Source organism: Homo sapiens, chromosome 14 (genome assembly GCF_000001405.40).
Source record: "Homo sapiens chromosome 14, GRCh38.p14 Primary Assembly".
In the NCBI taxonomy this organism is placed as follows: Eukaryota; Metazoa; Chordata; class Mammalia; order Primates; family Hominidae; genus Homo; species Homo sapiens.
Genome location: NC_000014.9, coordinates 80,188,881 through 80,204,022, shown reverse-complemented (window position 1 = coordinate 80,204,022; position 15,142 = coordinate 80,188,881). Strand labels below are relative to the sequence as shown.

The following is a 15,142-nucleotide window of genomic DNA, read 5'->3' as shown; positions in this document are numbered from 1 at the left end:
CTGATAAGGACAACACACACCCATAGAGTTACAGTGCACAAAGAGCTCTTTTTCTCATGTTGTCCTCCAGTTGCCATATGTGGAAGACAGGCATTATTATTTCCATTTTACAGGTGGGAAAGCTGAATCACTAAAGAGGTTAAGTGGAAGTAACACTTCTTATAAGTGGTAGACCTCAGGTTTTCTAGATCTGGCCAAGAATAGAGCCCACTGGTATCACTGGCCATTGGTTGAGATTAAATGACTTAGTATCATGCAAGAAAATGAAGGTCCTGCCTGGTGTTTCAGAATTCAGAAAGAGGGACCATGTCCCAAGACCCTGATAATTTGTCTTAAAGTAGACCATTTGCTTCTAATTTTTAAAATGAAGTCAATTAATCATTTGTTATAGAATGCATGTTAAGAATTGACAGCAAAATAAGGATAGTAAAGAATAACAGCCTTGGCTTAATTTTAAAAAGAGTTAACTCCAGTGCCTTCAGTGATGAAAATAATTATCTTCAGTGACTATACAGAATGAAAAAGACTTTTATTGTCTTTTGGGCCATTCTTTACATTACCTGCCATCATGCCTCTTTACTCAAATCAATAAATGTTTACCAAATGCTCTGAAGGAAATACCACACTCTATTAGAGCCAATTGTAACTATTTAATGTGAATTCAAGTGGCAATGTGTTTAATGTGATATTCTCACCTTCTTCTTCTTCTTCTTTTTTTTTTTTTTTACCGTCAGGTGAAATTGGGTGAGGATGCCCCCAATTCCAGTGTGGTGCATGTCTCCAGTACAGAAGGAGGTGACAACAGTGGCAATGGTACCCAGGAGAAGATAGCTGAGGGAGCCACATGCCACCTTCTTGACTTTGCCAGCCCTGAGCGCCCACTAGTGGTCAACTTTGGCTCAGCCACTTGACCTCCTTTCACGAGCCAGCTGCCAGCCTTCCGCAAACTGGTGGAAGAGTTCTCCTCAGTGGCTGACTTCCTGCTGGTCTACATTGATGAGGCTCATCCATCAGATGGCTGGGCGATACCGGGGGACTCCTCTTTGTCTTTTGAGGTGAAGAAGCACCAGAACCAGGAAGATCGATGTGCAGCAGCCCAGCAGCTTCTGGAGCGTTTCTCCTTGCCGCCCCAGTGCCGAGTTGTGGCTGACCGCATGGACAATAACGCCAACATAGCTTACGGGGTAGCCTTTGAACGTGTGTGCATTGTGCAGAGACAGAAAATTGCTTATCTGGGAGGAAAGGGCCCCTTCTCCTACAACCTTCAAGAAGTCCGGCATTGGCTGGAGAAGAATTTCAGCAAGAGATGAAAGAAAACTAGATTAGCTGGTTAAAGGTATGATTATAAGAGAGCTTATTGTTTTAAAAAGTTATATAAAGGCAAGGAAATTAAGAACTGAATCCATATTTCAACAGAGCCCTATTGGCTTACTGAAAGACAGGAGTTTATCTATCGGAAGAACATGAATCTCTAACAGCTCCATACTTCTTTCACTACTCAAATGGCATTGGGCTGAGTAAGTAACCATATCACCTCTCTTCTTAGTAAAAAGCCCTATGTGAAAAGATCCCAAGATGGAGAGGAAGAAACGCTAATTCAGCATGTGTTCATTCTGCATTGAGAAGGAACTGATACATCTGATGCATGCTTTGAGACCAGAAGAAAAGACTTACCTGAATAATTACTACATTAGGGAAGCTACTGTCTACGTTAAGATAAAGGGTATTGCCTTGGCTCTATTTGGCATGGATGGAGCCCAGTTGGAAAATTCCCAAATATTACAACAAGTCCTTGAACCCAGGCCATGTGGTTAGACGTTGGTGTTAAGGTTAGACCTTATGTTAGAGTCATTTCTGATGTTCCAGCTTCTAGCCATGTAGTGCTCTCAGTCTTCATACCCCAGAAATTATTGGTATATTTGTAGATACCGAGAATGATCCCTCAGTCTGAGAGGTTAGAATGATCATCTGTAATCTGAGGGTTAATTTCTAGGCAGGTGGAGAGAGTGGTAAAAAAGAAATGAAATTGACAAGCTAGGAAAGAGGAGGCAGAAAGATTTGGAAAATTCACAGAGTTTCACCCTTAAGCTGTAGAGAGTGGGTCACATTTGTTAGCCACGGAAACATAGAAACATACACAAGGCCAGAAAAAGAAGAAGGAGCTCAACTAAAAGTGGCATAGAGAATACACATATAAAAACAATATATTTGTCATATGCTCCTAGAGAGGAGAAAGGGGTGATTGAAAGAAAAAAAAATACTTAAATATTTGTAATTGTGAGGGGTTTCTTTTGGAAATAATTACTTTTGAACCATGTATGTGGTATGTATATTTTCAGTGGGTTAATTATACCCCATGATACCTATTAAAGGAAAACCAGTGGGTCTGGTGGTGCTGGTCTTTTCCTCCCCATTCCTACAATTTCTATGTGGCCCAAGTCATTCCTAATCTTGGTCTCTATAGCAGTGTTCTCTCTGAATGCTGAGCTGAAGAAATTATACGTACATACACACATACATACATACATACAAATATATGTATATATATTCTCAGCTGCTGCGGGAGGTAGGTACCATGGCCATTCAGCACAGCCTTGATTTCCTCCCAAAGTAGGTGAGCTATAGTGAAGAATAGGTGCAAACAAACAAGCTTACTTCCATTGCAAAATAGAAGAAGAGGAAGTTAGAGATAATTCTGATCAATCATTTTGGAGGCTTTGTTATAAGGCAACCCCCGGTATATCATGGAATTTCCATTGACATTTGAATTTGGACTTGGATCTTCCCTTGGTCCCATTAGCTGAGGTTTAGTAATCTAAAGTCCCTATAGTATATGATTATAATGCTATTTTAAAAAATATATATATAAAATATTTTTTTCTTTTTAAAATAGACACTATAGTTTTACCCATAAGTAATATTTAAAGATTATAGCTCCCAAAAGAATGGACCAACCACTTTCGTATCATAATTTCTTTTTGGTAAATATGAGACTATTATGAAATCATAGTATATGATTGTATTTAAAGGTACAATCAAAGGATCTTTTGTCCATTCCATTAATAACTGAATAAAAAATAAATAAAATGGATAGAAAAAAACTAAAGTTGAAAATACATTCTTAAACTAGTTGTCTGAATTGAGAAAAGAGTGAGAACTAGGTGTGCAAGAACCAAACGTATTTTATTTTATTTTTTAAATGGGAGCAACATATCAGTCGTGTCACCAGCTGGTATATTGTGTAAATATTAAAGCTCCATTGGGACTGATTTTTCATGGCAACATCAGCTTTCTAATGTTCTAAATTCTATAAAAACCACCCACAAAGAAACAAAGCAAATTTCATTATCTAATGAGTTGCTGGAAAATCATATTGAGAATAATTATTTCAGATTCCTCAGTTGTTAACTTCTACATTCAAGGCTTATCTCTGCCCCCATTGATTTTTAACCTCAAAATGGTGTTGAGATTTACGTGGAACCCTAAAGCAGTAAAATAAAAAACCTGGTTGCAGCACATTCACACTGTTGTCCTTAAAATTCCCCTTTTTTCTCTATGTACGATAAAGTAACAGTATGTCAGATAAGCCGGTGGGGGGATGAGATTAGGCTGAGGCAGTGCTAGTCAACTGGGGAAAAGGATGATGGAAAAATCACCCAGTTGTGCTATATTTTTAAAGAAGGAGGTCGTTTATGTGTGCAGACAATTCTCCCTGAGGTTAGCCCAATGGAGAAATGAAGCAGAGGAAGGAAACATAGAAAGACATGGGCTATCAGGGAGGAAGATGTTCAATAGAACATGCAAGAATTTCTGGAAGAAAGGCTGTGGAAGGGCCAATGGAGAAAATGAATGGACAAAGCTCAGGAATCCTACGCTATGTAGAATGTCTTGGTGTTATCAGGGTTAAGCCTGTAATTATGTAACCTATTTATCGCAACATGAATTTTTATGATTTCTTGTGATGTATTCTTTTATGAAATTAACAAGAACTCATTATTTTGAGGTAGAGGAAAATCAATGCTTTATCTGATATGCTGAGAAATTATTAGATTGCCAATACTCATGTGCGTTTCATGTGTTTTATAAGGTTTGTTCCTTTGAAGAATTGTAGTTCTTAGTCCCACAGGGAAATGTGTATCTATTTATATATCATAGTATAAATCTATGATATATTTATATCATATATAAAAGTCTGAGTTCTCTTTCTTAGTCCCTAATCATGTTTCTCCCATAGGCTGTGTTTACATGGAGCTATCGGTTTAGCCTTTTAAGCTTCATTAGCTTGTCTATTATTGAAATAGTTTCCAAGAAATTTTAGATATTATCATAACATCTGGGTCTACTCAAACACTTATTGTTTGAAAGACTTATGTCTTGGACCTATCAAAAACTGACTTTATTTATTGCTTAGTGAAAATACTAGTGGGATCAACAATGATTTTCTTGAATGGGCATGAATGGAGATGCCCGCACAGTAATGTAGAAATGTTTCATACAGCTATTAAAATGTAACTGACCTCCTTAGAGGCAGATTAGTAACTGTTCCTACTTTGTATAGCTAAGTGACAGTCACTTAACTTACATGACTTTCTTTTTTCACATTGGGTCTCTGGTCCTGTGTCTTCACCTCATTTATAGCACGTCTCCTTGATTTTTGGTAGTATCAACTTCCCAGTGATCTGTTCAGTTAAGTTCTTCTCCCGTTAACCAGGAAGTGCTTATTCTCTCATCACAGTGGGAAGAATAGCCTATTGTCTTTCATTTTGCCTGAGTGTATTTTACTATTTGGGCTCTGAAATAAAAATTATGAAATATGGTGAGGTCACATGTTGGTGCTGCCTTGCTGCATAAAATTCTAGAGGGCAGGTTAGAGACAGTATGTATGCCTTCGGGAAAATTCAAAGGTGGATTACAAGGTGTCCTCAGCATGCCCTATGGCCTATGTGCGAAGCAAGAAGAATTGACTGATTTACAGGACTTCTCTTTATGTCAATCTTAAGAGGATGGATGAATCTGGACATTTGTTCCACCCGACCTCTGACTGATGGTTTGGAAAATAACTTTAATTAGGATCATATGACCATTGAAAAAGGAAAAATGTAGACTCTGACTTCCGTCCCACTGAAGGATTAATGAAAACCTTTACTAGCATTTAGAGCTTTTCAGAACATCCCCACTGTCATGTGTCTCAGCAGTGGAGACTGCAAGTAAGGCTTTTAATTTTAGGAGGTTTTTTTTTTTTTTTTTTTTTCCCTAAATGGTATGGCCAAAAGTCAGAGTTAAAATATATATAGTTAGATTCCAACTTCCTCCTTCACTCTAAAAATAGAATCCAAACCCACTCTTCATATATGCTTCCAGAATGGGGCTTAAGTACCAATCTCTGCTTTGCAATGGGCACAATCTTGGTCATGTCCTGAGGCTCTCTAAGAAAAGAGAGGATCTAGGATGGGAGAGCTAGAAAGTTGCTAACTGGGAAGAACAAGGCCCTGAGGGCTTGGTCTACCAATCTGGGAAGATTTGAAAACAAACTTCTCGCAACTGAAGGAAGGCTGAAGGCTGCTGCAAGTCATTGAGTGACTTTAGGATGAGCAAAACATTGGGCCACTTCCTAATGCCCTATGTGTATAGTACCAGAAGCAAGGTCTCAGACTTAACAGACCCAGCTCTGTTCCAAGGTGAGTCTGAACCAATAGAAAGCAAACATGTGCAGATATCCAAACAAGACTGCTCATGCAAGTCGGGGCTGGCTACCCGTCTTAGGCAGCAACAGCAGAGCTCCAGGGAGCTTATTCAATATTTACTGAGACTTCGAAGACCCAGCAGATGTTTAATGAAGTCACTATTTTGGCTCAAACCCTCCACTTCTCCCCCTCCCCTCAAAAAGCCAACAGGTAAACACATAAATGAAAGAAACCCACAGAAGGGGATGGGAAATAAAGAAAATTCTCTCAAGACTTCTCCAGGCCCATGTCACTGGTCAGCGTGGTTTTTATGTGTATTAGGATTGGGGGATGTGAAGAAATAAGTATCCAGTACTTTATAACCAAAGCAATTAAATGATATTGGGTAGGGAATGTTGGCCAGTTTTGTTTAGTTTTGCATCACATTGTCACCAGACTCACTAGCCCAAGTAATCGGGCGCCCGAAGAGGGAGACAGAGATGTGCAGAGTTGACCAGTGTGCGGATGATAACTACTGACGAAAGAGTCATCGACTCAGTTAGTGGTTGGATGTAGTCACATTAGTTTGCCTCTCCCCATCTTTGTCTCCCTGGCAAGGAGAATATGCGGGACATGATGCTAAGAGTCCTGGGTAAATGTGGTGAGAATGCACGCGTGCATATGCTACACATATGTGCTTCTCAGTTGCAGAAAATGAACTGCTTTGGGAGATTATCAGTAGAAAGAGTGTTATCATATTGGTGCTGAGTGCTATGTGTGCTTATACAATTTGTTCTTGTATTTTAATAAACTTTGAATAAAAGAATAAAGCTACTCTTTGGTTCTATTTGTTTATTTTAACATTTCTCCCTAGAACTTGCCCCAGGCTGGGACATATTCATGGCTGACAAGGGAAAGAGAATCCATCATTCTAATATTTATTCCTTGGTATTTGTGGGCAAAGTAGCCAGCAATGCCAGATTATTTTAATCTCATGCTGTGTGCCAGGGTCTTCAAGGAAATCAAGACAAGTAAAAAGAAAATCTTCAGATACTTTCCATATTTATGAACAAGTTACACACAGAATTCATAGAAAGGGGCCTGTTTAAGAGACTGTGGAGCCAACTTTTACTTCGTTAGATTTACATCTCAGGCTTTCTAAGTGCAATTAATATACTTTCCAAGAAATTGGTTAAAATGACACACACACACACACACACACACATACACACATGTACTATATACACACACTTCTATATTATTTATGATTGGCAGTGTATTAATATGTGATACATTTGAACACATTTATATCAAGCACTTTTCACTATGAGGAGGTATAAAGGATATGTTCTGTGGAGGCAATGGACTGTTAATGAAAAGGAATATGTTCATAACATGGTTAAATATGTGCATTTTTTGGAAAACAGGCAACTTAAAGTAGGAGCATCTCTTGAGACTCTGAACTTGCTCATGATTTCCTACACAAAATAATTTTATTAATATTAGCATCTTACATACTATTCCAGAATTTCAAAAGGAAATTTAAAAAATCATTACTTTGACAACTATTTGTTGAGTTTCTATTCTTTGCAGGGCTCTGTGCTAGGTACAATGTAATGTGTAAAAACAATATAACCAAACTCATAAAAACATCACTTCATGCCATGGTTTGAATGCCCCCTCTAAAACTCATGTTGAAATTTAATTGCTGATATAATAGTACTGGGAAGTGGGGCCTTTAAGGGGCGATTAGGTTATGAGGGCTCTCCCTTCTTGAATAGATTATTGCCATTGTGGAGGGAGTGGGTTAGTTAATGGGAGAGTGGGCTTCTAATAAAAGGATGAGGTTCGGCCCCCGTTTCTCTGTTTTGTGCACTCTCGCCCTCTCTCACCATGTAATGCCTTCTGCCACGTTCTGACACACAGCAAGAGGCTTTCACCAGATGTGGCCCTGAGATCTTAGACTTCCCAGCTTCCAGAAATGTGAACCAAACAAATTTCTATTGTTTAAAAATTGCCCAGTCTGTGGTATTCTGTTATAGCAACAGAAAATAAACTAAGACACTCCCTTAAGGAGCCTGTTGTGGATTCATTAAGACCCTGCAAGTGACCAAGTCAATCTAAAAAAAAACAAAAACAAAAACAAAAGTGGAACTTATTGGCTGAAATAACCAAACTCTGCAAATGATTGGGATAAAACTTGCCTTAGTAAGAACTGGATTCAGGAACATAGAAGCCTTCAGTTCTTGCCAGGTCTTTTGTCTTCATTCTTTTTTGGGTGCCAGCTTTTTCACCCAGACCAGCTTCTCTGTATGTTGGGTGATCTGGCTAGGGGAAGCCTCTGACTTACAATTTCATTATAAAGTGGTTCAGATGCAGTTTGACCTTATTCCCAGGGAAGAACTTGGATTGGACCAATTTGCCTAACATGCCCACTTTGTTGAATGGGGGTAGGATCTGTTACTAGAAAAAGGAGAGCAAGAAGGGCTCGAATATATAGAGACACCAGATGTTAACTCAGTGGCTTTTTTTTTTTTTTTTTTTTAAGAAAGAGACTTTTTATTTTTTAAGAGCAGTTTTAGGTTCCCAGCAACTTTCAGAAGAAGGTATGGAGATTTTCCATATACCTCCTGCTCCACACAGGAATAACCCTCCCCTATTATCAACATCTCTCAGCAGAGTGATATATTTATCACAGTTGATGAACCTATATTGACACATCATTATCACCCAAAGTCCATAGCTTACATTAGGACTGTTTTATACTTTCTATGAGTTTGGACAAATGTATAATGACATGTTACCCATCATTATAAAATGAAACAAGGTATTTTTATTTTCATTGCCCTAAAAATCCTCTGTGCTCTGCCTCTTCCTCCCTTGCCACTCCCAGCCCCTGGCAACCACTGATCTTTCTATTGTCTCCAGGGTTTTATCTTTCCAGAATGTCATATAGGAATTGTACAGTACCTAGCCTTTCAGATTGACTTCTTTCACTTAGTAATATGCATTTAGGGATTCTCTGTGCCTTTTCATGGCTTGATAGCTCATTTCCTTTTAGTGCTGAATAATATTCCATTATCTGGATATACCAGATTTTATTTATCCATTTACCTACTGAAAGACATCTTGGTTGCTTCCAAGTTTTGGTCATTATGAATAAAACTGCTATTAACATCTGTGTGCAGGTTTCTATATAGACATAGGTTTTCAACTCCTTTGGGTAAATATTGAAGAGCATGGTTACTTAATTGTATGGTAAGAGCATTTTAAGGTTTTGTAAGACATTGCCAAACTGTCTTCCAAAGTAGCTGTACCATTTTGCATTCCCACTGGCAATGGATCAGAATTCCTGATGTTCCACATCCTCACTAACACTTGGTGTTGTCAATGTTCTGGATTTTGGACACTCTGATAGGTATGAGGTGGTATCTTTTTTTTTTTTAATTATTTCACAGTCCATTCCTTGTCTGTATTTGTTCTTATATTCGGTTTGGTTTAGTCTTCATGTCTGAAATGATTTTTACTTTTTTTAAAAAGATAAAATTTTTATTTTAGAACAATTTGAGATGTACAGAGAAATTAAGAAGATAGTACAGAGAGTTCTTATAAGCCCCATACCAATTTTCCCCTATTATTAATGTATTATGTTAATTTATACACTTACTATAGCTAATGGGCCAATAATGATATGGTATTATTATCAACTAAAGTCCATAATCTATATTCTAATGTGCTTTTTCTGTTCCAGAATCCATTCCAGGATACCATATTACAATTAATTTGCATTTCCTTGATAACATATGATATGGAGCATCTTTTCATATGTTATTTTCCACTTATACATCTTCTCTGGTGAGGTGTCTGTTAAGATCTTTGGCTCATTTTTGAAACTGATTGTTTGTTATCTTATCTTCTGTTGAGTTTTAAAGAGTTTGTTGTATGTTTTGGATAACAGTCCCTAATTATATGTGTCTTTTGAAAATATTTTCTCCCAATCTGTGGCTTGTCTTCTCATTTTTTTGACATTGTCTTTCACAGAATAGAAGTTTTTCATTTTAATGAAATCTAGCTTTTCAATTATTTCCTTCATGGATGAGGATTTTGGTAACACATCTGAAAAGTTATCACCATACCCACGATCATCTAGGTTTTCTCTTATGTTATCTTCTAAAAGCTTTATGGTTTTGTATTTTACATTTAGATCTATAATCTACTTTGAGTCAATTTTTATGAAGGCTGTAAGGTCTGTATTACAGAGTGATTTGTTGACAAGATTGTATTGCCTTTGCTCCATTGTCAAAGGCTACTAGACTATATTTTTGTGGATCTATTTTTAGGCTCTCTATTCTGTTCTATTATCTTTTTGTATATTCCTTCATCAATATCACACTGTCTTGACTACTGTAGCTTTATGGTTAAGTCTTGAGGTTAGGTAGTGTCAATTCTCTCAGTCTGTACTTCTCCCTCAGTATTGTGTTGGCTGTTGTGTGTCTTTTGCCCTCTTATAACTGTTGAATGAGTTTGTTGATATCCACAAAATAACTTGCTGGGATTTTTATTTGCATTGAATTGAATCTACAGATCACATTGGGAAGAACTGATATCTTGACAATATTGAGTATTCCTACCCATAAACACGGAATATCTCATTTAGTTATTCTTTGATATTTTTGTCAAATTTTATCATTTTCTACATATGGAACTTATATATATATAAGTTCTAAATAATTTGATGCATTTTGTTTTCAATTTCAAATTCCCCTTGTTTATTTCTGGTATATAGGGAAATGATTGACTTTTGTATATGAACCTTCTTTCCTGCACCCTTTCTATTAATGTAATTGCTTGTTAGTCCCGGAAGGTTTTTTTCAAAAAAAGTATTATTTTGTATTTTCTACAAAGACCAATCATGTAATATGCATCCAAAGACAGCTTTATTTTTTCCTTCCAAATCTGTATACCTTTTATATTCTTTTTTGTCTTACTGTATTAGCTAGGACTTCTAGTACACTGTTAAAAAGAAGTGGTGAGAGGGGACATTTTTACCTTGTTTCTGATCATTGTAGGAAAGCTTTGAGTTTCTCATCAAGTATGACGTTAGCTGTAGTATTTTTGTAGATTCTCTTTAACAGATTGACAAAGTTACCTTCCCTCCTAGTGTACTGAGTGTTTTTATCATGACGTGGTATTGGATTTTGTCAAATGCCTTTTCTGTATTTATTGATATGATCATGTGATTTTTTTAGCTTGTTGATGTGATGAATTACATGAATTAATTTTTGAATTTTGGACCAGATTTTAGCATTGCATACATGGAATAAACTCCACTCAGAATGGTGTATAATTCTGCTTTTACACATGGAATTCAATTTGGTAATATTTTGTTGAGGATTTTTGCATCTGTGTTTATGAGAGATATGGATCTGTAGTTTCTTTTTCTTCTGATGCCTTTAGTTTGGTAGGGTAATGTTGGCCTCATAAAATGAGTTGCAAAGTATTCCCTGTACTTCTATCTTCTGCAAGAGATTGTAGAGAATTGGTATAATTTCTTCTTCAAATATTTGGTAGAATTCACCAGCAAACCCATCTGAAACTGGTGCTGTCTTTTTTGGAAGATTATTTAATTGTTGACTCAATTTCTTTGATAGATGTAGGACCATTCACACAGTCTATTTTCCTTGAGTTTTGGCAGATGGTGTCTTTCAAGAAATTGGCCCATGCCATCTAGGTTGTCAAATTTGTGGTCATATAGTTATTTATACTATTCCTTTATTATCCTGTTAATGTTCATGTGCTCTGTAGTGATGCCCCTATCTCATTTCTGATTATTTGTAATTTGTGTCCTCTCTGTTTTTTTCTTGGTTAGCCTGGCTAGAGGCTTATCAATTTTATAGATCTTTTTAAAAAACCAGCTTTTCATTTTATTGATTTTCTCTTGATTTCCTGTTTTCAATTTTATTGATTTCTTCTTCTTTTCCTCTCCTTACTCTGGATTTAATTTATTCTTTTTCTAGTTTTGTGAGGTGAAAATTTATTGATTTAAGATCTTTGTTCTTTTCTAATATATGTATTCAATGCTATAAGCACCTCTCTCTAAGCACCAGTTTCACATCCCACAAATTTTGATAAGATGTGTTTTCACTTTCATTTAGTTCCAAATATTTTAAAATTTCTACTGAGGTTTTTTATTTGACTCATGTTGTTTAGAAGTGAGTTTAATAGCCACATATTTTGGCATTTTCTAGTCGTCTTTCTGTTATTTATTTCGAGTTTGATTCCATTGTGGTCTGAGAGCAGACATTGTATGATTTCTATTTTTTTTTTTAATGTTAAGGTGTATTTTCTGACCCCAGATGTGGTCTATTTGGTAAATATTTCTTGGAGCTTGAGACGAATGTATATTTTGCTGTTGTTTGATGAAGGAGTCTGTAGATGTCAATTATACCAGTTGAATGATGGTGTTCCTGAATTCACCTATGCCCCACTGATTTTCTGTCTACTGAATCTGTCCACTTATGATAAAGGGGGTTTGAAGTGTTCAGCTATGATAGTGGATTCACCTATTTCTCCTTGCAGTTTTTTTGTTTTGTTTTGTTTTTTGTTTGTTTGAAACGGAGTTTCACTGTTGTCACCCAGGCCGGAGTGCAATGGCACTATCTCGGCTCAGTGTGACCTCTGCCTCCCAGGTTCAAGCGATTCTCCTGCCTCAGTCTCCCAAGTTTCTGGGATTACAGGCACCCGCGACCACACCCAGCTAGTTTTTGTATTTTTAGTAGAGACGGGGTTTCACCATGTTGGCCAGGCTGGTCTGGAACTCCTGACCTCAAATGATCCACCCAACTCGGCCTCCCAAAGTGCTGGGATTACAGGTGTGAGCCACCGTGCCCGGCCTCTTCTTGCAGTTCTATCAGTTTTTGCCTCATGCATTTTGACTTCATTGTTAGTCACATACACATTAAAGATTGTTATGTCTTCTTGGAGATCTGGCCCCTTTATCATTAACGTAATATCCTTCTTTGTCTCTGATAACTTTCCTTCCTTTGAAGTCTGCTCTGTTTGAAATTAACTTAGCTAGTTCTGCTTTCTTTTGATTAACGTTAACGTTAGCATTGTATATATATTGTTCTTCATTTGTTTACTTTTTTCTAACAGTGTTTTAATATCTAAAGTAAATTTCTTGTATAATACATCCAGTTGGGTCTTGTTTTTGACCTACTCTGACAATGTCTTTCAATTGGTATACTAAGACCACTGATTTTCAAAATGATGAAAGATATAGTTGGATTAATATCTACCGTAATTATTACTGTTTTATATTTGTTGATCTTGCTGTTTGTTCCTATTTTTGTCTTTTACTCTCTTTTTTCCTTTTGTGATTTTCTTTTTTCTGTTTTTTGAGACAGAGCCTCGCTCTGTCGCCCAGGCTGGAGTGCAGTGGTGCGATCTTGCTCACTGCAAGCTCTGCCTCCCGGGTTCACGCCATTCTCCTGCCTCAGCCTCCCGGGTAGCTGGGACTACAGGCGCCCGCCACCACACCCGGCTAATTTTTTTTGTATTTTTTTTAATAGAGACGGGGTTTCACCGTGTGAGCCAGGATGGTCTTGATCTTCTGACCTCGTGACCCGCCCACCTCGGCCTCCCAAAGTGCCAGGATTACAGGCGTGAGCCACCGCTCCCGGCCCGTTTTGTGGTTTTAAACTGTACATTTTATATTATTCCACTTTCTTCCCTTTCTTAGCATATCAGTAATACTTTTTTTGTACTTTTTGAAGTTGTTGCTGTATCTTTTGCAATATATAATCACAACTAATCTAAGTTTACTGTCAAATAACACTATACTACTTCACAGGTAGTGTGGGTACCTTATAATAACAAAATAATTCTTATTTCTCCCTCTTATCCCTCCTAAGCCTATATATAATAAGATGTATACATAAGCATACATAGTTAAATACATTGTTGCTATTATTATTTTGGACAAACTGTTATCTGTTAGATCTGTTAAGTACAGGAAAAATGAAAGTTTTTACTTTATCTCCACTTATTCTTTCCTCGTTGTTCTTTATGCAGATCTCAGTTTCTGACCTATATTATGTTACTTCTTTCTAAATAACTTCTTTTAACTTTTCTTGCAAGGCAGTTCTACTGACAACAAATTTCCTCAATTTTTGTGTTTCTGAGAAAGTATTTATTCTTCACTTTTGAAGGATAATTTCACAGGCTACACAATTCAGATTAGTGGCTTCTTTCTCTCAACACTTTAAGTATTTCACTTTATTCTCTTTTTGCTTTTAAGGTTTCTGAGAAGAAGGATGTTATTCTATTGGTACTCTATAGGGTTTTTTTTTTTCTCCCTCTGATTTCTTTCAGGACTTTTTCTTTCTTTTTGATATTTTTATAATTTGGAAATAATATGTCCAGGTGTAGTTGATTTTTGTTTGTTGGTTGACTAGCTGGGTTTCTTTCTTTCTTTTTTTTTTAATTTTTTTATTTTGACATTTATCCTGCTTGGTATTCTCTGAGCTACCTGAATTTTTGGCTTGGTTTCTGACATTAGTTTGGAGAAATCGTCAGTTATTAGTCTAAAATACTTTTTCTTTCCTTTATCTTTTTCTTTTCCTTTTGGTATTTCTATTACACATACGTTAGATTTTTCTGTAGTTGTCCCACAGTCCTTAGATATTCGGTTCTGGTTTGGGTTTTTTCAGTCTTTATTTTTTTTTACTTTTCTGTTTTGGAGGTTTCTATTGGTATATCCTCAAGCGCGGAGATTCTTTTCTCAGCTGTATTTGTTCTACTAATAAGCCTATTAAGGACATTCTTTGTTTGCGTTATAGTCTTTTTGATCTCTAGAATTTCTTTTTAGTTCCTTCTTAGGATTTCTGTCTGTGTGCTTACATTGTCCATGTGTTTTTGCATGCTGTTTACTGTATCCATTAAGGCCTTTAAATATTAACCATACTTGTTTTAAATCCTGGTCTGATAATTCCAAGATCCCTGGCATATTTGCTTCTGATGCTTGTTCTGTCTTTTCAAGTTGTGTTTTTTGCCTTTTAGTATGCTTGGTAATTTTTTTTTTTTTTTGATAGCTGGCCATAACATACCAGATACATGGAATTGTTGTAACTAGACCTTTAGTAATGTGATGGTAAGGTGTAAGGGGAGGAAAAGTGTTCTACAGTCTTGAGATTAGGTCTTTCAGTGACCCCAGGCCTCTGGGTTATGAATTTCACAAGTGTTTCTCAATATTTTTCTTCTTTCTTAGATAGGACAGGATGGCTACCATCGGATAGAGTTGAATATTTCCCTTCTCCCATGTGGAAGGCTAGAGCTGGCTGGAGTTGGGTATTTCTCTTCTCTCAGGTCATTTCGGCTTTGATTGTATCCCAGCGGGTTTCGTTCTGGTTAACTAGTTTCTCCTGAGGACAGGCCTTGTTAAAAGAACAGAGTGCTCTAGTGTATTTCAATTTTTTTTT

The 15,142-nt window shown here is 36.8% G+C and overlaps 1 protein-coding gene across 6 annotated transcripts in view; it reads left to right on the top strand.

Annotated features, from left to right (window-relative positions):
• DIO2 (iodothyronine deiodinase 2) overlaps positions 1-6,497 on the top strand; it is a 33,532-nt gene extending 27,035 nt beyond the window's left edge. For all 6 annotated transcript variants that reach the window (NR_158990.1, NR_158991.1, NM_000793.6 and 3 more), the window contains one exon: positions 735-6,497. Coding sequence is in view for 4 of the 6 variants with exons in the window: in NM_013989.5 (NP_054644.1) it covers positions 735-1,334 (600 nt within the window). In the remaining 2 variants the exon portion in view is untranslated. The remainder of the gene's footprint in view (positions 1-734) is intronic.
• The last annotated feature ends 8,645 nt before the right edge of the window (positions 6,498-15,142 follow it).